The 25856-nt window shown below is 34.6% G+C and overlaps 2 long non-coding RNA genes across 2 annotated transcripts in view; one reads left to right on the forward strand and one right to left on the reverse strand.

Moving 5' to 3' along the window:
- The window catches only part of LOC107985243 (uncharacterized), a 79017-nt gene that overhangs the window by 24988 nt on the left and 28173 nt on the right, over positions 1-25856 (reverse strand). The window lies entirely within an intron of this gene.
- The window catches only part of LINC02789 (long intergenic non-protein coding RNA 2789), a 244710-nt gene continuing 242658 nt past the window's right edge, over positions 23805-25856 (forward strand). The window contains exon 1 of the long non-coding RNA NR_147896.1: positions 23805-23944. This is a non-coding gene — a long non-coding RNA (long intergenic non-protein coding RNA 2789). The remainder of the gene's footprint in view (positions 23945-25856) is intronic.

A 25856-nucleotide genomic window follows, 5' to 3' on the forward strand; every position in this document is an offset into this window, starting at 1 on the left:
AATCAACACTTTGTGACCATTTTGTAGAACCAAATTATGGGAGTTTTGACTAGTTGATCTTAAGTACACTCTTCAACCCTGAGATTTTATGATTTCTTACTTTCTACAAAGTAAGTTTTAGGATGGTATTAGAATAATTGATAAAATAAAGAACTGCAGTAGATTTGCTGGAATGTATATAAAGCAGCCTTTTTGAAAAACCTTAAAGAACATAGGTGTTCAGTACTGATGAACTCAAAGTACAGTGTCTCATTTGTTTGGTTCTGTTCGATTAATTTAAAAAGAGCATTTAGGCATAGTGGCTAATGCCCGTAATCTCAGTACTTTGGGAGGCTGAGGCGGTAGGATAATTTGAGCCCAGGCATTTGAGACCAGGCTGGGCAACATAGTGGGACCCTGTCTCTACAAAAAAATTAAAAATTAGCTGGGTGTGGTGGTGTGTGCCTGTGGTCTCAGTGACATGCGAGGCTAAGGCAGGAGGATCATTTGAGCCCAGGTGGCAGAGGCTGCAGTGAGTTATGATTGCACCACTGCACTCCAGCCTGGGCAACAGAGTGAGACCCTGTCTCAGAAAAATAAATAAAAATAAAATAAAAAGAGCATTTAGTTAAGTAAAGCTCATTTTATCCTGTGTACATTTCATTAATATATACACAGGGACTCTTTCCATTAAATAGCCAAGTGTGGGATTGAGAAAACATGGCTCCAAGACATCATTGCTTATAAGCATGCCCAGTGACAAAATGAAAATAATATTTCCAGCATCCTCATGAGAAATTTGCAAATTATAGAGCCATGTATGCACTCTCAAACGTTCAAGATACAGTACTTATGAGCCTATTTGCAATTATGTGTTGACAATCAAACTATTATAATATATGTGAAATTATTGAGAGGGAGTTTTTACTTTAAAAAACACTGAATTTTTGTAATACTTTTGTAAGGTAAAACCCTTAAATTGTCTCAGAAGTATCTATTTGCAATATATTTGGTTTACTTTTTGTAAGACATAATATATTGGCTCCTTGAAACTTTGGGATTTTTTTTTTTTTTTTTTTTTCTGAGATGGAGTCTTGCTCTGTCACCCAGGCTGGAGTGCAGTGGTGCGATCTTGGCTTACTGCAACCTCTGCCTTCCAGGTTCAAGCAATTCTCCTGCTTCAGCCTCCCAAGTAGCTTGGATTACAGGAGTACACCATCACGCCCGGCTAATTTTTGTATTTTTAGTAGAGTGGGGTTTCACCATGTTGGCCAGGTTGGTCTGGAACTGGCTGGTCTCAAACTCCTGACCTCGTGATCCACCCACCTCGGCCTCCCAAAGTGCTGGCATTACAGGCATGAGCCACCATGCCTGGCTGAAACTTTGAAATTTTTAAATAAAAAATTATAATCGGGCTGGGTGCAGTGGCTCATGCCTGTAATCCCAGCACTTTGGGAGGCTGAGGCGAGTGGATCACCTGAGATCAGGAGTTCAAGACCAGCCTGGCCAACATGGTAAAACCCCGTCTCTACTAAAAAACACAAAAATTAGCCGGGTGTGGTGGCAGTCGCCTGTAATCCCAGCTACTCAGGAGGCTGAGGCTGAAGAATCTCTTAAACCCGGGAGGCGGCGGTTGCAGTGAGATGAGATCACGCCACTGCACTCCAGCCTAGGCGACAGAGAGAAAGTCCATCTAAAAAAGAATTATAATCATGACGTTTTCTGGAAAAATCTTCTTTTAAATAAATAGTCTTATTATCTACAGAAAAATTAAATATGCTCTAAACCTTAAATGTCTCATCGGAGACTGAATCCTCCAATGTGTCTTTCAACATAGAACTGCCTCAAACTATTGTCAAATGAACCTCATAACCTAGTTCCTGATTTGGAATATATGTATGTCACTCACTTCCAAACAGAAATACTTATAAAGACATTAACTTCTTTGTCTTTTTTAAAAAAAAGTGTTTAATCTTCCATAACCTAAAAGTGCTTAAGTATTTCTCCCTAAGCTGTTGTATTCAGGTCATGTCTTCATTGCAATACATAAGTTATAATAGTTACATAGGAATACTTAAGTTAATTTTTTCTGTATTATAGAAAAGTCCTGTGAATAAACTTTTCTGATTTCTGTCAAGTCAGTGAAATACATAAGTATTATGCATTATTATTTCCCTATTCAGTGGTCATTTAAGTGGTGTTAAGAATTTGACATTAGTTCTTTGTATATAGAACCAATACTCTTAGAATGTATTTATCACCATGACGAAGACAATAAATCAAAGTTAAAGATTAAGAATAAGCCACAAAGTCCAGGCGCGGTGGCTCACGCATGTAATCCCAGCACTTTGGGAGGCCAAGGCAGGAGAATAACCTGAGGTCGGGAGTTCAAGACCAGCCTGACCAACATGAAGAAACCCCGTCTCTACTAAAAATACAAAATTAGCTGGACGTGTTCGTGCATGCCTGTAATCCCAGCTACTACGGAGGCTAAGGCAGGAGAATCGCTTGAATCCAGGAGGCCGAGGTTGCAGTGAGCCAAGATTGTGCCATTGCACTCCAGCTTAGGCAACACGAGTGAAATTCCGCCAAAAAAAAAAAAAAAGAAAAGGAAAAGAAAGCAGCAGCAGCAGCCACAAAACACTCCTCAAGTTCAGCAGCTTCTTAATTACTATTACTACTCTGCTTTAAAGCAGAGGGAAGAGCAGGTGATTTGAGTGGAGAGGGAGATTTCAGAGAAAGAATTGTCAAATTTAAAAAATAATGACAAGAGTAAGTTCTGACACTAAGGTAATTCCTATGTTTATAAACCAAGCTGAGGAGTGGATGAAGGTGCTGATATAAGAAACAAAGAAAGATAAAGGGATCAGGAAAGCATATAAACTAAACTTTGTTATGGAGATTTGAAATACCAACGGACCATCTGAGTGGAGATATTTGATATGTAGTTACACAGATGAGTTTGAGATTCAGACAAAATTTGTGTGAAGTTAAATATTTGGAAATCATTAACGCACTTGGGAATTATACAGTCCCCCAAAGTATGCCAAGTGAGAAATAAAAGCAAGAAGATTGAGGATGGAACTCAACGACTCCTATTTCCATATTATTTCTTCTGTAGCCTCTTTTACAATAATTCTTTTCTTAAACTCTGAAGAATACCAACATTCTGACACATTTGGGGGCAGGAGACTCTTTTATTGTCTCCCTATCACTCTCTCTCCCCCTTCTCTCTTTCTCTCCTCTCTTCTCTCTCTCTCTCTCTCCCTCCCTCCTCTTTTATTCTCATTGAGTTGACAGAATACATTGCACTCAAGAATCACATTTAGAAGGACAAGAATCAGAACTACATTTTGCTTTATCTTTCCCCATTCAACTTTGATTGCTTTGCAATGAGACAATTGAAAAACATCCAGAAATAGAAGAATGTATTCTGTTTCGAAAAAACAAACATACAAAATATATATTCAATTTTTAATTGTTTAGAATTAATAATAAAAAATACAATTAAAATATGTGTGGTACTAATGAGTCTAAATTTATATTTGATATTCTGGGGGAATTCTAACCTCTTAACCTTCTTGGACATAGAAACAACAGGAAAACCCTTCATGTGGCTGATCCTACTAGCTGAGCTTATGCCTTGGAAGACCTGGAGGACTTTCAAAGCACTGACAAGACACACTGGATTGCACACTGTTGCTACCACACTTCTTGTCAGGTTCTGCAAAACTTCATCTAGGACCACCTACCACAGTCACATCACTCTGGATGCCACTTTATATTGTTATGTGCAAAATTTCTTACTCATTACTAGATGGGGACTGTCTATTCTGCATTGCTGTTTGCCACAGTAAACAAGCATCTACCTGGCTTTTAGAGTGGAATAAGTGTTGACTGTAGTGAGCTAATTCTGCAAACAATAAACCATTCTTCTTGAAATAGCAAAAATCATATTCCTTTTGAATTGACACAAGTCCATGGCATAATATGCCATATAAAGATAAGAATTACAGCAAAAACTGTTTGGATTTTTGTTTTCTTCTTTAAATAGCTAAATTATGAAAAATTTGAGTTCTATGACATTTTTGTTTATTATTCCTTATTATCAAGTAATTGATTTATTATCTTTGACTATTTACAGCACCTAGTTCATTAATAGTTATACCTCTATTGATTAACAATTTTTCAAAACTTTTGTTACTTTGGGAATGTGAACATAGCCACACATTTTGATAGCACAGATTAAGCAGAAACACAATAAACCCTAGTCATTAAAATGAGAAGTCATCATTTATTAACAGAAAATGTGTGTTAAGCACGTATTTGTATTGTTTCTTATGCTGATTTTCAAGCAGATAATTATAATAACTAGGCTGGGTCTTCATTGATCTGTGTTACATGGATTTGATCAATTCATTGCTAAAGCAGTAATTTTGAACAATACCATTGCTAAGTACTTAGTCATCAATATAGGGTTGAATAGTTCATCTGACAGTTTTGTCTTAATTACTAAAATGTCTTTCTGACCAGTTCAATTGGACCATTTATAAGGTAATCAATTGTTTTAGTATTGATTTGTAAATGACATATCCAGGAAATCACATAAATCTAGTGTCAGGCGCTTAAGAATATAACGCAGATGTACATTTAGTCATCTGTGCCCTGCTTCACAATGTACTAGTGCATAAATAACTCTAAAAAAAACAAAAGTTGTAGTCACTCAGTTTGACAGTCAAGGTTGAAAGTACAATTGGAAGTGGGCCATTTTTTTTTTTTTTTTTTTTTTTACTTAGATGCATATAAAAGAATTTGGATGAAAACTCCAGGGATAGAAATTTACATTTTTCTAGTTTGGCATGGAAATTCAAAATTAATTCCAAAACTGAAAAATTGCATGTGTCTAAACCTATATTTAGTTCACAGCAGTTTAGATGCCCTCTCATAAACCATTTATCTGCCTATTTTATTAAATGTTAAGTACATTTGACTATAACTAACTGATGAAGAAATAAAGAAAAATAAATTTTACATTTCTACTTAAAATTTTATTTATATTATCAGGAAAAATATTACATATTAAATATTCTTAGGGCATGGGAAATTATAAAAAGCATAAGGGCAATACAAGTCCATTAAAGCGCTTTTCTTAATTTAAAAAAACCCTCTTAAGAATATTATTCTTCCAACCTGAAATAGTCAATTAAAATTCTAGCGAGCATTAAAAAAAATTCTTTCTCTGTGCAATAACAGGAGAAGAGAAGAGCTCTGGATAGATATGTACCGAAATATTTTTTAAAGTTTGTAAGTTTATTTCTGGGAAGAGGAAAGGTTATGCAAGTTCTTTATGTATTGCTTCTATGTTTTTGTATTTTTGGGTTTTTTAACAATGAAAATATATTAAAACATAATCAGAAAAAGAAACTATTGAAGTGTTAATAAAACAATAATTAGATAAATGATAATTTCCAAAAAATATATCTTTATAACATTAACTTGCATTCTTTTTCAAAATTGCTTGATGTTTTCCTTTGCAATTTCCCTGGGAAATAAATAAGGTAAATCTCATTTAATTTGTCTAGCCACTGCCATATTAACTATTTATCCAGAGTAGCACTTTGAATTGGAAGAGGACTCAGGTTAGAACTAAAGTATTCAGTATTTATTTCTCCCCAAACATTGATATGAGCATTGTAATAACTTTCACTTTATCTTATTGAGTAGTTTATTCTATGATGGCATATCTCTTTTAATACAGTTTTTTATAGTTTTCCTTTGTTATGATTTGTAGCATTTTGAATTATAAAAAAAATTGGAAAGGTTTGTGAGAGGTCATTAAATTCTAGGCACAGAAAATATACAGAGGAATCATTTGGAAGGTGTGCCTTGATACACTTTTACTCTGTGGTCAATTTATAACTTTCTTGGAAGGTTGCAGTATTAAGGCCAGATAATTTACTTAAAAATATTTTTATTACTTTTGAGAAGATGAGAATTACTGAGACATGAGCATTTTTACAATGCATAAATGTTCAGCTCTATTTTGAAGTATGAGTAGTAGATATAGTAATTGATATTTTTTAAATGCTATTTTTACTTTATCTACAGAAAACAACGATGGTAGAACCTAGTAATTCCTGTATTCTATATGTTATTACAGATGGGACACTAACACCACACTAAGTGGTAAATCTTCCCAGTTTAATGTCTGTATTGTAAACTTCAGTGGTTCTTAAGTTTATTTTCTCCAAGACTCAAAAATCTCATGAGATAATTATAATGATAAGGTACCTTTTACTCTGAGCTGAGATCACATCTTTAGCTGTTTCTATACTCAGCCTTATTGATATAACCAAACAATTTGTGCTCAATAACTCAAATGTTTTTCAGACACGGTTTGACCATTAATCTAACAACAGTACTCTATTTTGGGTTTGAATGGTAAGAGAAAAAAAATCTTTAATTAGTACCTATTATGTGCCTGGTGATTCATATTCATTATATTGATTAAATCTTAATATAAAATTATGAGATGGGTTTTAAAACCCTAATTTTTCAAATGAAGAAACATGCTCAGTGAGGCGAATTTCCTTATTGTAAGTCTTGTCTATAGGTAGTGGGGCTATGATATGAGATCAGCTCATTTGTCTTTACAGCTGATGATATTTTCAATATATCAATGTTCCTCAACATAGGGGATACCTCCATCTGCAACAGAATTGCTAGGGAAACTTCTTAGATGATAAATTCCAATGCTCCATCCCATAGTGGCTGAATCATTTTCTGAATATGGGTCTCAGAAAAATCCAGCTGAAATAATCACCCCATTGATGCTTACACATCACTGATACACGTGACTACCTTTCAGGCATTGTGCATCCCCTTCCTCAAGCCCTAATACAAACGCATCACAGTAGATAATCAAATGACCAAATACTTCTGGGATTTTTTTTTCATTCCTTTTGATTAAGTTTTTAAAAAATGATTATTACTGGAAATCAAGAATTTTCTCATAGAGACAGTATAAACATTTCATCAGTGATTAAATGAAGATATAGATAGTATATTGATCAAGCCAATTGCTGACTCTAAGCTGGCTCAACGTGTTGGATGAGAGTCAATTACATAATTACATTGGTTTTAACAGAAAGAACAATTGAGTTAAGTCAAGTATTAAAAAATGTAGGAGTTAAAAATTGTACCTCAGTAATGAGGGTTGTATTAGTCCATTCTCACACTGCTGTAAAGAACTACCTGTGACTGCATAATTTATAAAGCAAATAAGTTTAATTGACTCCCAGTTCCACAGGCCCTACAGGAAGCATGGCTGGGAGGCCTCAGAAAACTGACAATCATGGCAGAAGGTGAAGAGGAAGCAATCATGTCTTACCATGGCAGAGCAGGAGAGAAAGAGCGAGTGAAAGGGGAAGTGCACATACTTTCAAATAATCAGATCTCATGAGAACTCACTATCATGAGACCAGCAAGGGGGAAATCTGTCCCCAAAACTCAACCACCTCCCACCAGGCCCCTCCTCCAATTTGACCTGAGATTTGGGTGGGGACACAAATCCAAACCATATCAAGGGCTTAAAAGCTGACCACAAATGATCAGTAGAAAGAAGATAGGGGCTTAACCAAAAGCCATGCAGAAAAAAAGGAGTTTTAAAAATCTATACCGTGGTGTGCTCTCATCATTCCTTCCCTCAACAACACAGAAAACAAAATCCTCAGAAATAAAAATATAATAAAATATAATATAAGTCTTCGGCTTTATTGATAGACTTAATAAAATAAGAAATTACATCTTTTTCTTTCATTTTGTGCTAGTTGTACTGCTTCTGGAGTTTGGTAGATAGTTCTGATATTGCAATTGAATAATGACATTGACAAATTACATTGTATATTAAGATTATCCCAAAAGGTGAGGAATGCAATACTATGTCACGTGAGGAATGGGTGAAGACAAAGGGAATGTTTAACCTTAAAAAGAGAAGTCAGGAGGTATATGATAGCTATCTTTTTAAATTTGACAAGGTTCCTCTATATGAAAGAGATGACATTTTGGCTACAGAGTTTGAAATAAGAACAAGAGTGGAAGCTTTAAAGCTTCAGATCAAAATAAGGAAGGCATTATTTTTAGTAATCAGAGGAATTATTAGACACCAGAAACAATAGTATCACTAGAAATCTGCTTGTTCCAAGTATTGTAGTGTGAGTCAAGCATTGTATCTCATTCCTTTTGTTTCATCATGGCCCTGATCTTGCCTGTCTTGATTGCCATTTTAAGTTCCTAGCACTTAGCACATAAACATGTCTTAATAAATATTTTTTAAGGAATAAATGCACAAGACTTTATGATTCTGAATTGTCAAACACCAATTCCATGTCGACTCATGTTACAAGGAAAGAATAACGTTCATGTTTCTGCCAACCATATACCCAGTGTCCCATACTCACCACTTCTAGCCAACTAGAGAAAAATCTGCCTCAGTCTGGTTAATTGTGATAGATAATGAGAATTTGTTTATGTTAGTAACTTGTCACCTAGAAATCTTAAGTTTTGATGATTTTAGCAAACAAATTACTCTTGAGTGGTCTAGGGAAGCTGGTTACTTGACTAAATTTTAATAAGCCACTGATAAAAACACATACCAGAATAAGGCAAATTTCAAAAGGGGGGAAATGATGTGATTACAAATAACTCTTTCATGATTGTGATAAGAAGGTTGGGATAACTGATCTGCAAAGCATATGTGAGTATCTTTAAAATGGTTATTCAAGAACATTTGTAAACTATGCATACAAATAAAAACCAATTACAACCTCCATCCAAATGATGTGTAAAACTCCATCATTAAAATTTAATTTACTTTAACCATTATTTTTAGATCCATCTTAACATTTTGGACAGAATAAGGAAAGGAAGTTTATGTTTTAAAACTATATAAAATATCTACCTTATTTTTTCTTATATAGAATACACCATTGCCTTAATTAATGCAGAGCAATGGGTGGTTTCGAGTTCCAGAAATATTGTAACAGTTTCTGGTAAATGTGCATCTGACTTATCCAGGAGGTAACTGAATTGGAAGCACATAATACTGATTTAATTATATATTAACTTAGATTTGTTTCTTATCAGCAGATGCTATATTTTTATTTAATTATCTATAACATTGATATGCAATATTTTAAGAAATAGATCCAAGTTACAGCACTCATTAAGTTGATCTGTGGCCCTTCTCACCTACTTCTTCCTCGCCTTGGAACAAATCATTCTGATTGGTATTCTTCCTAAATTAAATCACTTTAGTCATTATATATCACAAGTATTTTTTTAGTTTCTGCTATTTGCACTCTCTGTTTATCTCTTCTCATGCATAGGAAAGTATAAATATATACAACATTTTTCTGAATGCTGTATTCCAGTGATTTATCATCTGTAACATAGCTGTAGTTGAAAAGTAATAATGGAAACTAAACAGAGAATTATAAATCTCCTGTAAAGATGGACACACCTTAAATCACAAGACATTCCTGAATACAACAGATATTTAAAACAGGTAAATTATCAAGTAATAATTTAATATTCACTGGTAAACAAAAGCTTTTTACAATTACTTTAACACATAGAATTTGTCATATTTATTAGAACACTCTGGGGAAATATTGAGTAAAGCCATTTTCTCTTCTATTCAAAAGTCAGGAAAATTAAAGAAATGAACACTTGATCTTTAGACATGCTTTATCTTTAGCCTTCATCTTCAACATTAATAACATATTTTTACTATACATAAAAAAGAGAGGTGGTATATATTAATAACTTGATTTTTTTTCAACAAGCTTTATATCATTGGATATTTATTTTGTTAGCTTGTGAAGCAAGAATGTTTATTAGTTGGTTCACATTATTTTAAATATTCTTGCTTCCTGAATACAGTGGTATATAACTGGGACCCTAATAAACCTTTTGTGTTGAAAACTGTGTAGTGTAAAACTAAGACCAATACTGTGAAGTCTCCAGGCTTCCGGTATTCCCAAGAACTTGAGAGGGTTTCTGGTTTTCTTGTTAGCATCACCCCTATAATTGGCTCTGTATTCTGCCTCTCTTACCTTTGCACACACACATATACACACACTCTCACACTCACATATCCCCCTTGCCCAGAAAAATATCCAGAACCCAGTATTCTGCATTCACAGCAGCATAAGGGACACTTTAATGGTGAAGAGATACAAAAGGGAAAGAAGGACTTTCCCAAAGCAGGAGGGATTTACCTAGTGGGTCCAATCTCTAATGATAGGAAAGCAAGTTAGCGGATTGTCATAGGAACCTAAGTAATAAATTGACATATCTTAGTGATTCATTGCATGTGGGGCTCTCTTGCCCTCTCTATCTATCTCAAATGTTTATCTTTTTGATTATTTGCTCCTGCCTCATCTCTAATAACTTGAACTATTCTGTATATATTTCTTTCAATTAATTGCAGTACTATGCTTTGAGTATTCAATATTTTCCACAGATGTTTCTCCTTAGTTTGGTATTCACTTATGCATTCATCATTTAATTAATTAATTTACTCATTTTCATTGTAACTGAGTGCACATAATATGGTTTCTAAGACACTTGGAAGATAAAAATTACAACATTTGGTCTCTGCCTTGAAAAGAATAGATCTAGTCTCATAGGTGATAAAATTAAGCAAAAAATAAGGCACTTGGTAAACACAAGTTTGCTCCCCAAATACATCTGGGTTCCTGCTTTTCCATGTGTTCTCTGAAAGCAAGGTTTACATGTCTGTTGTTGTTGTTGGTGGTGGTGGTGGTGGGTTTTTTTGGGGGGTGGGGATGGGTTTGGTCAGCCTAAATGGTAGCATCATACCTGGTTTATGTAAGAAACTAAATAAACTTTTTGCTAAATTCTACATAATTTAATATTATATTCTGACTAAACTAATTTTTAAGTCCTCTTCCCAAATATTCTGTGGCTTACTAGTGAAGTTACATGCCACTTATCTTTATTAACTGCTCCTATTTCCTGGGCCACTTTAATCAATATTAACACTTTAATCAATATAAGCATAATAACAAAGAAAAAGATGCCCATTGGACGTTTTTCTATTAAAATATATGATGCTATTATTTTGTATTTTCCAAATAAAACCATGATTATTATAATTACTTATGGAATTATTTACATGTTTCTTTACTATTTAATCTTAGGGTTGTGTGGTTTCTTTTAAATATTAAATTGATATTGATTCTCAGGAACCAGTGCAAGAGCTTATTAAGTGGGTATTTGGCCACTTGCCCAGTGGCTTCACATTAGTTTGTACTTGGTGAGTAAAAATAGAAAGTAGGCAGGGCGCTGTGGCTCACGCCTGTAATCCCAGCACTTTGGGAAGTCAGGGCGGGTGGATCACCTGAAGTCAGGAGTTCGAGACCAGCCTGGCCAACATAGTGAAACCCCATCTCCACTAAAAATACAAAAATTAACCTGGTGTGGTGGTGTGTGCCTGTAATCCTAGCTACCCAGGAGGCTGAGGCAGGAGAATGGCTGGAACTCGGGAGGCAGAGGCTGCAGTGAGCCAAGATCGTGCCACTGCACTCCAGCCTGGGTGACAGAGCAAGACTCCATCTCAAGAAAAAAAAAAAAGAAAGAAAGACAACGGAAAATAGAGGGTAGTTTATAGTGGTCGATAGTTGATTTACATACTGTTTATTTCTGTCCCTTTTCCTTAATAGTTAACATATGGACACAAATTAACATATCAACGTTCTTTGATTGACAAAAGGCACACTGGATAACACACTTTGATAAGGAACAACTTTTGTACTTATTATATCTGAGATACTGTAGTGAGCACTGCAGAGACTTTTTAAAACAATCTCTGCATATGTTTTGCATGTTAATATTATACAGAGACAACCTTAAATATATCTTCTGAGGTCTTAAGAAAATATCTTATAGCCTCCTCATGAATTTGATCTTGTTCTGAAGCCTGTTTTTAAAAAAAAATCTCTGAGATACTAGAACCCAGCAAGCCCTGAATCTTTTATATCTAAAAGCCCTTTCTTTAGCTTATCTTTCTTCTTCTACATTCTACTATAAGCAACAATAAGAAGCCAGGTGGCAACTTCAATACTCTGCCTAGAAGTCTCCTTAGCTAGATCATATAGTTCATTAGGTTTATTTTTTTTTTTACTTTGTTCAGCAACAATGTTGCTAAACTTTCTACCACTGCATATCAAATATTCTCTTTCATTTAGCTTTCAACAATATTTTCCTTACTTTCTGTTAAGCCCTCTCTAGCACTTCTTTGATGGCCTTCACGTTTACTAATAGTCTCTCCATAGCCCTTTAGCCTTTCTCTAACACTTTCTTCAATGTGCTTCCAGCTTTACTTCAGCTGCCTCCTGGTCCCAAAGCTACATTTTAGAGTTTGTTATGGCAGCATACTACTTTAAGTTCAACAACAACAACAACAACAAACAAAACAAAAACAAAAACAAAAAACAAATAAACCCTGTTCCAGTTACTATAACTGCATAACAAATTACCACAAAACTTAGTGGCATAAAACAAGCCTATATTTTAGTCATGGTTTCTCTGGGTCAGGATTTCAGAGAGTCAGAGGCTCTGAATGAGCCTTTTCCTGTGAATCTGCTCTACTCAGATTCAGCTAAGAGCTAGAATAGCTAGGCTCTTTAGGCATTTCTCTTTATCTCTCTGTGCCCTCTCCATGTGAATTCTCCAGTACTTTGGCTTCAAGGTAGCCAGATTACTTGTGTGTAGGCTCATGGATCCTAACGCATGTGTCTCAAGAGCCAGGCAAAGAAGTATCACTTTTGCTAACCTAGACTCTGAGGTAACACAGCATCACTCCTGTTACATTCAACTTATTAGAGGTCAGTCAGGCTGGGTCATACCTGTAATCCAAACACTTTGGGAGTCCAAGGCAGGTGGATCACTTGAGGCCAGGAGTTTGAGAACAGCCTGGCCAACATGATGAAACCCTGTCTCTACTAAAAATACAAAAATACAAATACAAAAAAAATACAAAAAAACCCTGTCTCTACTAAAAATACAAAAATTAGCCAGGCTTGGTGGAGGGTGCCTGTAGTCCCAGCTACTTGGGAGGCCAAGTAGCTGGCAGGCTGAGGCAGGAGAATCGCTTGAACCCAGGAGGTGGAGGTTGCAGTGAGCCAAGATTGTGCCACTGCACTCCAGCCTGGCCAACAGAAGGAGACTCTGTCTCAAAATAAGTAAGTCACTGAGGCTAGGCCATATTCACAAGAAAGAAAGTTAGATTTCACTTCCTGTGGCAGACATGTCAAAGAATTTGGAGACATGTTTAAAACCACCACATGTGTGTATAATGCAAGAGAGAGAGCATTTTAGAAAGATAGAGCAAAGGACACAGAATGCACAAAAGAGCACAGTATTACAGGACACAGTAGGGAAAGTTATTGTTCATAACTGGGAATCAATGACAGTACAATTTGACTGCACATAGCATGACTTTTGAGAAGTAATGAGAGACACAAAAATGGTGGTGGTATGAAGCAATGTCTCTCATACTAGCATCTGTAGCCCTCATTCCCCAGAGCTTGCCCTACTTTTCCCTCCACCTGTAGGCCTCATTGCTACGCTTGTTCACAGATCAAGCCTAACTTACTGCAGGAGGTACTTAAGACTTGCAATCTTAGCATCTAACTTGTATTGTTTCATTCCTATGTTATAAATTGTTGAGCCTGCCTCCTTGACCGTTATCTTGAGTCTCAGTTCATATGTATGGACTCCTGCTTTTATTTTAATCACATCCTTTTCTGGAGTTTTTTTCTTCTAAATTGTCTTACCTGTAGGCATGCTGGATGCTCAAATCAGACTTCTAAGGATAGAATAACTACAGTGGAGAATCTAGGAAGAAAGCCAGTTAATGTTTATTGAATTTGGTCTCTGCAGCAGACACTGTTAGGCATTAAACATGTGTAAGATTCCTCAATTTAGCCTGAAAAACAGGAAAGTTAGTCCATCTCCTTGAGTAAGGTTGGTCAGGGTCGGAATACCAAATTGGCAGGCTGAATAAACAAAAACACTACTGTCCTTGCAAAGATTATGGCAAAATTGGAGCTAGACGAGACTGTGTTATGAGGATTGAATTAAAATTGGGAAATGTGTGGACTAGCACTGTGTGTGTGTGTGTGTCTGTGTGTGTGATGTGTGTGTATATCTGAAGTTTACTAAACTTTGAACTCCACAAACACTTTTAGGTTCATATTCATATCCCTAGTGCTCAGCTAGTCTTGGCTTTTGAAAAATGTTTATGAAACTGAAAAAGAACTGAATTATTTGGTATATGGGTGCTGGCTTAGAGAAAATGAGAAGGGGGTCTACATAGGACACCCAGACACTAAACTCTAAATCTAAATTGTTAGAAGAATTGGCCCTTTCCATATCATTAGAATTATTTCTTTCTGCCTTGGAAAGTCAGCAAGACCATGGTTTTGGTTTGCAGGGCTGTCGTTCCTCCCAGAAAGCAGGTAGGGAGTTACTTCATAAAAGATCAGAGTTCTTGCCTTTTTCTTGTCATTCTCCTTCAAAACTAACTTAATCTGGAAGACTGGGATCTGCTTTTTATGGAAGGAGCCAAATCTATGTAGAGCAGGAATTTGACAAATTACTTTCTGACTTCTTGCTGTCTTGATGTGCCTAGGAATAGAGGTCCCTTTATCTATCAGTTGGGTTCCTCTATTCCACTGTTGAGTTGGACTGAGATCAGAGATTACAATAATTAACAGACACACAGAGAGGCCTGAGCTTTTTACTTACGCTCCAAAACTTGAAACACTAAAGTGAGTTTTAGACGGAAAGTGTGAGACTTAAGGAAAAGGAGCAACCATACTATGGGAGATGTGGCAGAAATGGCAAACTGATTACCATTTCTCTTCTGCAGAACACACAGCTAGACTCCAATTCTCAGTCTCCCTTGCAGTTAGGTATACCCATGTGACTCAGACTAGCTGACAGAATGTGAATAGTGATTTCTGGTAAAGCCCCTTCCAGCTTGATTTTATCTGACACAGTGATCTTGGAAAGTGGGGTTGAAGATGGCAGAGTCACAAATGGAAAGTGACTGGACTCCTGGGTTGTGATTTGGAGAAGAGATGCCTAATGATCACAATCCCTGCTTGAGATATTTGTAAGTGAGATATAAGCTTGTATGTAAGCCTCTGAAATTTCAGGGTATATCTCTTTTATCAGCTCCCATATCCTTAACTAATAAAGGAGGTATTCTTGGGTTAGGAAAGCTAAATACATAAATTCTTTCCTCAATGAGTTTTTAAGATATTCTGGGAGGATAATTATGATTATCTTGCTAATTAACTAACAGCTAAGTGGTATAAATATGTACAAAATTAGCCCCATATGAGTTCTGTTTAAAAATATTACCGTATGTTTAGCAATTTCTTGAGAAGATTAGATATTAACTAAGCTTTTAAAAAATGGTAGAGTTTTATAATAAAAAAGGAATAAAGAAAGAACATTTTATGACAAAGGTACATAATAAGAAGAGATGTGTGTTCAAAAGATCATCAATAGACTGGGCTGGGTGTATTGTATGTATATGTATTTATATACATAACAATCTCTAATGTCTTCAAAACACTATAAGCTCTGGTCTTGTAGTATTTTTAAGATATTAGAGATTATGATGTATATAAAGATATATTGAGAACAGAGTTCAGAGATGGCTGAATACAAAATAGGTAATTTATAATTTGTAATTTATCCTATATGCATTAATGAACCATTTTGACATATGATTGAAATTGTGAAGGCAACATTCTAGAAAAGAGGCATAGAAAAACACGTCTATTAATATCAATTAAAAATACTGAAATAAGGGCTGAGCACGGTGGCTCACACCCATAATCCCAGCACTTTGGGAGGCTGAGGCAGGTGGATCACCTGAGGTCGGGAGTTCAAGACCAGCCTGGCCAACATGGTGAAACCCCGTCTCTACTAAAAATACAAAAATTAGCCAGGTGTAGTGGCACACATCTGTAGTACTAGCTACTTGGGAGGCTGAGACAGGAGAATCGCTTGAACTCGGGAGGTGGAGGTTGCAGTGAGCAGAGTGCCACTGCACTCTAGCCTGGGTGACAGAGCGAGGCTCCGTCTCAAAAAAACAAAGCAAAACAAAACAAAACAAAACAAAACAAAAAACCTGAAATAATTGTAATATTGAGCAGTAAGTGTCTACACTAAGGTGGTGACATTAAGAATGAAAATTTTAAAAAAGAATAAAAACTTAGGACACTTTCCCTTTGGGCTATGATGGGACAATTTGTATGAGACTAGCCATCTCACCACCAACCCCTTTAGTGATACATATTCTTGTATCTAAACAGATCTAAACAGTAGTTTTAAAATTAATACAATTTTTAGAATGATATAACTAGGGGAAATACGGGAAGCTACAGTTTTAGGTGTTAGACGACAGAAAGAACAAGACAGAGCTCCCATGAGAAGGAAAACTCATGTCCCAGGATGTCATGGCTTCTTGCCTGGAAATAGTTCATCAACTATGACATAGCAAGCTAATGTCCAAGCAGAGTACAGTGGTTGGACAGGTACCACTGTCCAGTGATTGCCCCTGAACTTAGGGGGTGCATTATTTGTAGAGAATATGATAGCCAACGGATCAGAGGCAGAAATGCAAGAACAGACTTGTTGATGTGGATGGAATGTGTGAAATAAGAAAAAAGAGGAAAGGGAGCTGTGTAGAGAAAGTAAGTCTATATGGAAATTATTTGAAAAATACCATTCACCAGCATTCACTCAAGAAATTTTAAAAATCTGAATATCTATCTATAAGGAAATAAAATTCATTATCCCAACTTTCCCACAGAATAACTCCAGGCCTAGATGGTTTAACTGGCGAATTCTATCAACATATAAAAAGGAAATAGTACCAGACTTATGACAATTTTTTCAGAAGCTAGGGAAAGAGGAATAGTTTCCCAGCTAATTTAGGAAGGAGCAGAATCATGATAACAAAATATGAGGGGCATTATAAGAAAAGCAAATTGAAAGCTAATGTCCTTCAAGAACATAGCTTTTGCCACAATCCTCAATCAATTATTAGGGAAATAAATCCAGCCACATAAAAAAGGTAGTGGATAATAACCAACTAGGCTTTATCCAGGAATGCCAGATTGGTTCAACATTTGAAACAACACAATTCACCACAGTAACAGAATAAAGAAAAAATTATATAAATCAAAGAGGAGAATAATATTGTTCAATAAAGTTCATAAATAGAACTACATGTATATGGTCAACTGATTTTTAACAAAAGTTCCAATGTGTTCAATACTAAAATCTTGTATTTTTCAACAATGATGCTGGAACAACTGAATTTTCATATGGAAGAAAATGAACTCTGACTCTTATCTTACAAATATGAGAAATTAATTTGAAATGAATCAGACTTAACTTTAAAAGCAAACACTATAAGGCTTCTAGAAGAAAATATAGGAGAAAAATCTTCGTTTTAGGGTTAGAGAACTATTTCTTAGACGTAAAAATTAAAATTAAAAGCAGCACTAATTATCAGTGATACATCAAATGTCAAAGATAGGGTTCTGGAAATGATTACCCCTGAACCAAGGGGTACGTTATTTGTAGAGAATTTGAAAACAATAATAAAACTGGCTAAATTTAGTCTACTTTTTATTATCACCATATAGTCAAGATTCTAATAAATATCTGTGATGAAATACTCCTCCTGGAAAATAAAATTTTATGGTCAAACAATCACTATGATTACTTTGAGTTTTAATAATAGACATGTAAGCCTTATATTAGCAATTCTCATTATGCATTCTTTAAAGAACATTGTATTCTATGTGGAAATTAATTCATGCAACTCCCAGTTATCCAGTCAGCCCCCAACATGCTCAGTGTGCCACACATGCTCATTTCAGGAGCAAGTTTGTTTTGCTTCAGAATTGTTGAAGCTTGCATTGGGCTAAGATCATACCACGAACCCCTTTAGTGATACGTATTCTTATGTCTAAACACTAGTTCTGAAATTAAAAAAAAAATAATAAAGTGTATATAAGACCACAAATAACCTGAGCTAAATTCGATTTTGTCATTCCATGTGAACATTTTGGATTTTATTTGTGATTAAAATTTAAAACAGTGAAACAGATTGTGAATTGTGAAGTGTAATATTTTTGCTTTCAATTGAAAATTTTAGTTTATAAAAGAGATATATTCTGAACTTGAATATCTTTAAAATTAAAATTTTATTATTTTAGTTGCTAATTATTTGTACTAAAACTAATGAATCAAGAGAACGATGACTATGATTATTAATCACTATGACAGGACAATATGTTGATGTAAGTTATTTACCTTTTTTTTTTAAAAAAAAAGACTTTCCTACTTTAAGTGGTTAAAAGTATTGAGGTATTACTTTTTCCTTTTCTGCATTGTAACACTTATTTTATACAAACACAAACACACACACACATACTGTATCTACTCTTGTGTGTAATTCTATGCCAAGAGAAGAGTATACTAGGATAAATAAAACAGTCTTTGCTCATAGGAAATGGAAGCTAATTTCTAATTTAAAGAAGATAGCTGGTCTTTTTGTCTTTCCTAAGGAGATGTATCATAACTTCTTTACATGCTGTGTCTACTATGGCTCACATGTGAACATATCATCTTACACTTAACCTCTTTCTTTATCCAACAAAATTCATGTTCAGAAGTTGGTTATGCAAATGAATGAGGGCTTGACAGAGGGCATAAAAACTTAGGTTTGGAGACTAACATTTTTAAAGCATGAAACAATTGTTAACTAGAAAATGCTTTTAAAATACTTGTTCTTAATTTATTCTATCTGCAAACTTAGTATATTAGACAGGTCTTTGCCCCCACTCATATCCTTTTGGCAAAGATTTTTATTCCAGCAGATACCGTGACAACCAGTTGTGCATATGGGCATCCAAACAGCACCTCAGTTATTCTGAAAGTTGAGTAAATCTGCAAATGAGAGGAAGTAAACATCTCATTGGTCAGCACTTTACCAAGGACAGGACCTGGTATCACTCACATCCCTTTGGATAGGCAATTTCTAGGCATCTCTACTCAGCTTCTCTGAGGGTCTCCAGTGAGAATTGGACTCCAGATGTCTCTGATAGTGAACAACTAGCACAACAACTTAGAACAATATTCTCTTCCATTGATTCTTACCCTTCCCTAGTTCCTAGCCCTTCATGCATGTGCTTCTGATAACTTCTCAAAATAAATAACCTACATACAAGTTCTTTGCTAAGGCTCTACTTGTTTGGTAGACCCAGGCTCAAATATCTAATAAAGGTATTTTTATGTGTCTTCTTAGTTTACAGGCTCTGGATCAAGCTGTTCTCTGCATTTATGCAATATACTTTTGTCTAGTTCAAAAAGACCATCTTTTTTATGTCACCTGCCGACCAAACATTGACAATACATGTTTGTCTCCGTGTATGTGTGTGTATACCCACGCTTGCTTTAAAACATTTGCATTTGTTACACTGGCATTGAAGACCCTCTATATTTTGGTCCTATTTACCTACCCAACTCCACTGGCTATTTTCCACTAATACAAGCAGTTTATGAAATTCAAACTTTTTTCATTACTCTCCTTTCTCAAATCTAAAACTTGTTATCCTCCAAAATATTTTCAACTCCATGTTTTCATTCTATTCAGCACCTGTTTCACAGTATTTAACTGTACACAAAGGCTTATACTTATTATTATTGCATTTTATTATTTGCAGAACAAGTAAAATACTTCACAAATAAGTAAGAATTTTCCTAGGTGTCAAAGAATGAGGTGGACAGGAGACAAAGTTATTCTATGCAGAAGAATCTGCTTACACAAGGACACAAAGAAAAGAACAAAAAAGGTGTATTTGGAGAATGTCAGTTTTATTAACATGTTTAAGGAGTGAAGATCCAATAAGAGCTTAGGGAAATAAAATTTAAACGTTTTTACTGTGACCCATGTTAAGAAATACATTATGCTTTGCAATCCATTACTAGGGTAAACATGTATTTTATCATCCAACCTGGGACATTGCTAAATGTGAAAAGAACAGCTAGAGACAACTGGGGGAAAACAGGTATAAATAAAACTTGTCCTGGGCAAACTTGAATGCATGTTTATCCTAATCGGTGCATGCATAAATGTACTTGGCTGTACAGTGAATGATTCACACTGCAATTTCTCTTTTTCTCTATTTCATATTTTCAAGAATGCTGTTGTGACCTATTTGTTGATGTCACTCACTAAGGGCTAAAAAAAAAAATACTAGCTGAGAGAGAGACAAAGTCCAAATAAATGCAGGACTTGACGGCCCCTACATTTATTCCCCAGCAAACATTATACACATAGAAGTAGGTGATGGGAGCTTTTGAAGGAGTGTAAGCCCTGGAGAAACCTGTGTCCATTACATGTTAGAGAGGCTGCTCTTGCAGGAGTCTGGAGGGGTCTTTGAAGTTGACAAAAACGGGTTGTCACTGAGCATAATTTTTCACCTTAATTCTCACTCTTTTTAGGCAATTAAGCAGATCACTTAAGGGAGATAATTTATTTGGCTCAGTCTAGACAAACTAGAATTTTATATAAACTTACATTTTAAGATATATATAAGAAAAATACTTACAAAGCTTAACTAAATGTTTCTAAAATTTCTCACCAATAGTCTATTTTCTTCACTCAGTAGTGTTAACTGAAAATGCATATTTCTTGGTTTCATCAGATTACTTCAAGTATAAAACTTCTGAGGTTTCCTTTATACAGGTTTCCTTTATATCCAACTTTCTTCAGCTTCCAAACTCAGTTTAGGTTTGTGTTATGAAGTCTCCATTTTTTTTCCCATATAAACCAGAACTCGAGAAGAAAGCATCAGGAATATAAATAGTTTGTGAAATTATGTTCCATTTGTTCCAAGGGAAAATGATAAAGCTTGACTTAAAAGCTTTAAACTTCATTTGGAGAACCAAGGCAATTGCAACTAAAGTGCAAAGCTGTACATACAAATGCTCTCAATTATATGACCCATTTCATGATTTCTATGGAAAACCTGGAAAGAGACAAGTGTCAGCTAAATTCTAAGAAATCTTTGTGACTGTGATTTCTCAGATCTAAACCTTACAAAGCAAGATGTAAATGCAATAATTCCTGAGAAAATAATTCAAGACCATGCTTGATTGACAATGATTCAATAGTATCATACATGTCTTAGTTTATTACAGAACCTCTAACAACCAATGGGTCTTGCCACTGTTTGCACATTTTTGTTCATCATAGAATTTCTCTGACTCATTATTTTCTTAACACTGTGTAATTTTGGTTAGCAATTACAGCCAACAGTACTATAAGATACAGCTTATCAGCAAAATAAAAAACAATCAAACAAACAAAATCTTAGAGCCCATGTAGCAATTAACATTTGGCTGGAAAATAAGTGCTAGATTTTGATCATAGAGAGAACAATTTACTTGGTTGTATTTTTTTAGTTGGCTTATGGGGAGAGTGTTTTATTAGAGTCCATTATATTACTAAAACTTATTTTAATGGATTTGAATATGATTTTAAATAAATAACTTTTGTTTATACGTATATGTTTTCAAAAGACTGGAAGAGTTTTAAGGGTAACCTGCTTGTAATAGTTTAAGTTGTAGCACCACTTCACAATTCAGAATTAGAAGTGAAAAATTACATTTATGTTACCGTCAGTTTAACCCTAAAATAATTAAAATGGAGAAAAAAGAAAGAGCATATATAATAAATCAGAAAACATTTCCAACCTTAAAGCCATGATCTAGGAAGATGAAATGGACAGAATGGAACAAGATGATCCATAAACTACTGCAGAGAGGAACATTAACGAAAAGCAAGCATTGTATCTCTGGAAGTCTCAAGAACAATTAGACCATTAGTACCTTTCCCAGCTCACCTCCCAGAATATTAGCACCCAGACTGGTAGTCCAAAAAGATAAGACCGAACAAATCTTTGGAGCACAGGAATAGTCCCCAAAAATGGAGCCAGAGATCTTGACATTTAGGAGCCACCCTCACAAAACCAGCCTACCACTCAACAAACACAGCTGAGGAACACAGATTTTCTAGCTTTTAAAATAACTTCATTATAAGGTGAATCTGCAAATCACTAGGCTTTTGAAGCATGCCGCCAACATAAATAAGCAAATACAAAAAGAAAAAAGAATAAAAGCAAAAGAAGATGAAGGAGATTTAAGAGAACATGTAAAAATTCAAGAAAAGTGTGAAAGAACTGTAATTAATAAAGTAACATATAATAGGCAGAAACACGGTGGTTGAAGCAATTGGCCCTGGCAGTGAAGAATATTTTATAGTTGACTTTGTTTAGAATTTACTGATGCATGGTGATGATAAAAATGAAAACTGATATTTGGTCAACTCTAGTATTATTCTAAAACGTTCTTTATTCTAAAACGTTCTACAATAAACCCCTTATTATCTGTACCCAAAAGAGATTGCTCCTACCAACCATCCCTTAATGTGCTGCTAAGTTAATATCCTCAAAGCAATGAGAGAAGCATTTGTACTCAGTCCAGATTGGAGTAGGTGCATTAAGCACTTCTGAATGACAGTTTTCGAACAAAATCTGGTCCACTAACTGTTATTAAAGATATGGAACAACTTAGTAACACTTCAAGAGAAAACAATGAAATTGAAAAAATTAGATAATTATTAAATACAACAAACTAAAAAGTACACAAAAGGGAATTGTGGTATATTATTGGTGTTAGAAGAGAATGGTACTAGTATTCTCTACTAGTAGAGAATACTAGTACTACTATTCTCTACTAGCCACTGGGTGCAGTGGCTTACAACTTAATCCCAACACTTTGGGAGGGGGAGGGGAATCACTTGAGCCCAGGAATTCTAGACCAACCTGGGCAACATAGCAAAACCATGTTTCTATTTTTAAAAAATAAAATAGAATAATATTACATAGTAAAAATAATGGCAATATAGAATACGGATAAGAACATAATGTAATCTTACAGTTATAGGAAGTGCATGCATGGTGTCAAAAATTAATATATCAAAAAGCAACAATCATATATTTCATAAACATGGAGGTATAGTTGAACAAATATCCCAAAGAAAGTGGTTGTACCTGGGGATTGGAATGATTGGGACTCAGAGAGTAGGGGTAACTACTTTTTATTATGGGCTTTTTGGGCATAAATTAAATGCATATATTACTTTGATTAAACTCAAAAAGTGAAGATTATATGGATTTAATTAGAACAAAGCTATAATAATGACATAAAACATTTCCTGTAACTCTATAGGCTGTCAGACAATGCAGAAGTTAAAAAAGTCACATTTGGCACGTTTATTTCACACTACATTATTCTATTTTATAAAATTTAAAAAATTCTGTAATTCTGAAAAACATTTGTTATCGGAATGAAAGATAACATAACTAGTCTTAGATGTAGAATTCTTTCATAAATTAGAAAAAGACCACCTTTATCTTTAATTAATAAATTTTAAAAGTTATGTTTAATTTAAACTTAAGATTTTTATATAGTATACTCTTTGATAATACATAATTTGGAAGCAGATTTTTTAATTTTAAAAAATAAATGTGTAAAATAAGTATGCATTTTTAAAAATCAAAGACTTAACTAGGATTTTATTGTAGAGATGGTATGATCTTTCTGGCTATATATACTTGGAATTGGGCTGGGTCCTAATTGATACATAGGAAACCAAATAACCTAGAGAAAACAATACCCATGAATGATTAGCAAATTTCTTACATATAAAGGAAATGATTTAACTTCAAGAGACTAGAATAAATGAAAACATATTCAAAATTGAAAACGTTAATGGAAGGTAAGTTTGGTTTGCATTTGTGCATTTTATTTTGCAGACTAGAACAGACATAAACTTCTAATTCTGTTAACATTGTAGCAGTTCATGGCAGTACAGGGGAAGACTTTTAGAAAAGAAAAAGATACTGGAGGAAAGGATTGATCTTTTCTGACAGCATGTAACACTTTTTACAGGGTAAACAATAATGCTTAGATTCTTTTCCTTTAGCAGCAAAAAGGCTCTGCTCTCAGTATTTAACAGCAGAATGAACAAAACTTGCTTTATAAAACAAACAAATCCATAGTCTATTTCTGTTTGTTGGTTTTACTATGGTGAATTCCACACAAAAGGGGATTCCTTCCTACTGCTTTAACATAACACATTTCCGTGATTATGAAGTGTAAAAGTGCTAGCCATTTTAGGTCCAAATATTGAGGCTCATTATTGTGGTGAGTTTGAATGTTGACTTATATGAGATTTTCTTCTTCCCTATGCAAATGAAGTGGCAAAATGTTGCTTTTAGGTCGAGATCAGGTAAACTGAGTCTAGATGCATCTAATTCATCTAACTAAATCTAATTAAACTTAATTAAATCTAAGAACCCACTAGATGATGGTAAATCAGTTTTGTAATATCTAGCAATTGCTTTAAAAATTTTTTTTTCTCTCTAAAAACACAGTATTTGCTGGCTCCTCTATTGCTGGATATGTCAGCTATTTACAGAAGACTTTCAGATGAGATCTTGCAGAAAGGATCCCAAAAGGCATTCATTAGGAGAGAGTTAATTATTTGGTTTTACTGTGAAATGGAGAGTTAATTTCTGTCTATCATGGCACCACAATAGTTTTAAGGTCATGAATCATTTTGCGATCATCCCTCACATATTTTCCTCTCAGATGTATACGCTTCCTATTTCATATCCATTGCTCAGATTAGCTCTTCCTTTTGAATTTATTACAATAGACACATTGGGGTTGACTAGTACTTGCTCTATCCTTTCTTGTTAAGAACCCTGTCATCCTGGTCCAACAGCTTTGTATATGATTCAAATATTGCTTTTCACAGAAGCAACTTTTAACATGCAATGCGAACATCCTCATTATGGGAGAGATGAGAACAAATAACAGCATGATATGGCTGTCTTCTGAACTGTGCACTTATTGACCTATTTACCAATTATAGCTTTCTCATTTTAACATTGTGCATTATGGATATTCATCAAGGACAGTAGATAACTCCTATGAAAGTAGAGTCCATATTAGTATGAAATGGAGGTTATATTATTTCCTATAAAATTTACTAAAAGGCAAGCATTAAGAATACAGATACAAGCATATAAGATTGAAAGTCTGAGTTAATTCATAACTATTTCAATGATGCTGTGGTGGACTTGATAGGCTAGTTAGCATTTCAGCATGCATTCAATGCACATTAATAGGGCTATTAATATTATATCCTTATGTTGCTGTTATAAAATGAGAGTCCTTTTTAAAAAAAATTTTCGCACGGTTAACTGACTAGGACTCCAAAAATATCATAAATATTTTGGAGCAATGTTATAAGAGTTATTTGCCCCTAGCACGTTCTAGTTTAGCAACATGAGTGTTAAGGAAACCATGTCAATCCAGTGTCACATCTTTGCCATTTCAAATAAGACAAGTGCAAATAGTTGTGTGTGTGTGTGTGTGTATGTGTGTGTGTATGTGACAAGTTGGATTAAATGTACTTTGTATAATTAAGTTCAGTGAAGTCAGCAGATAATATCAAAAAGGATTAGAAACAAGCCCCTTATCCTCAAAATGTAAAATTTTATTCATAGGAGCCAATTTTAATTTAATTATCTTTTTTTGAAAAGTGCCGAAAATACCTTAAACTAGGGCAGGATTTTTTTTATTACTTTAAAGATATCTTGATTGATACTTTCATCCTTATT

The sequence above is a fragment of the Homo sapiens genome, chromosome 1, assembly GCF_000001405.40.
Source record: "Homo sapiens chromosome 1, GRCh38.p14 Primary Assembly".
Taxonomy (NCBI): domain Eukaryota; kingdom Metazoa; phylum Chordata; class Mammalia; order Primates; family Hominidae; genus Homo; species Homo sapiens.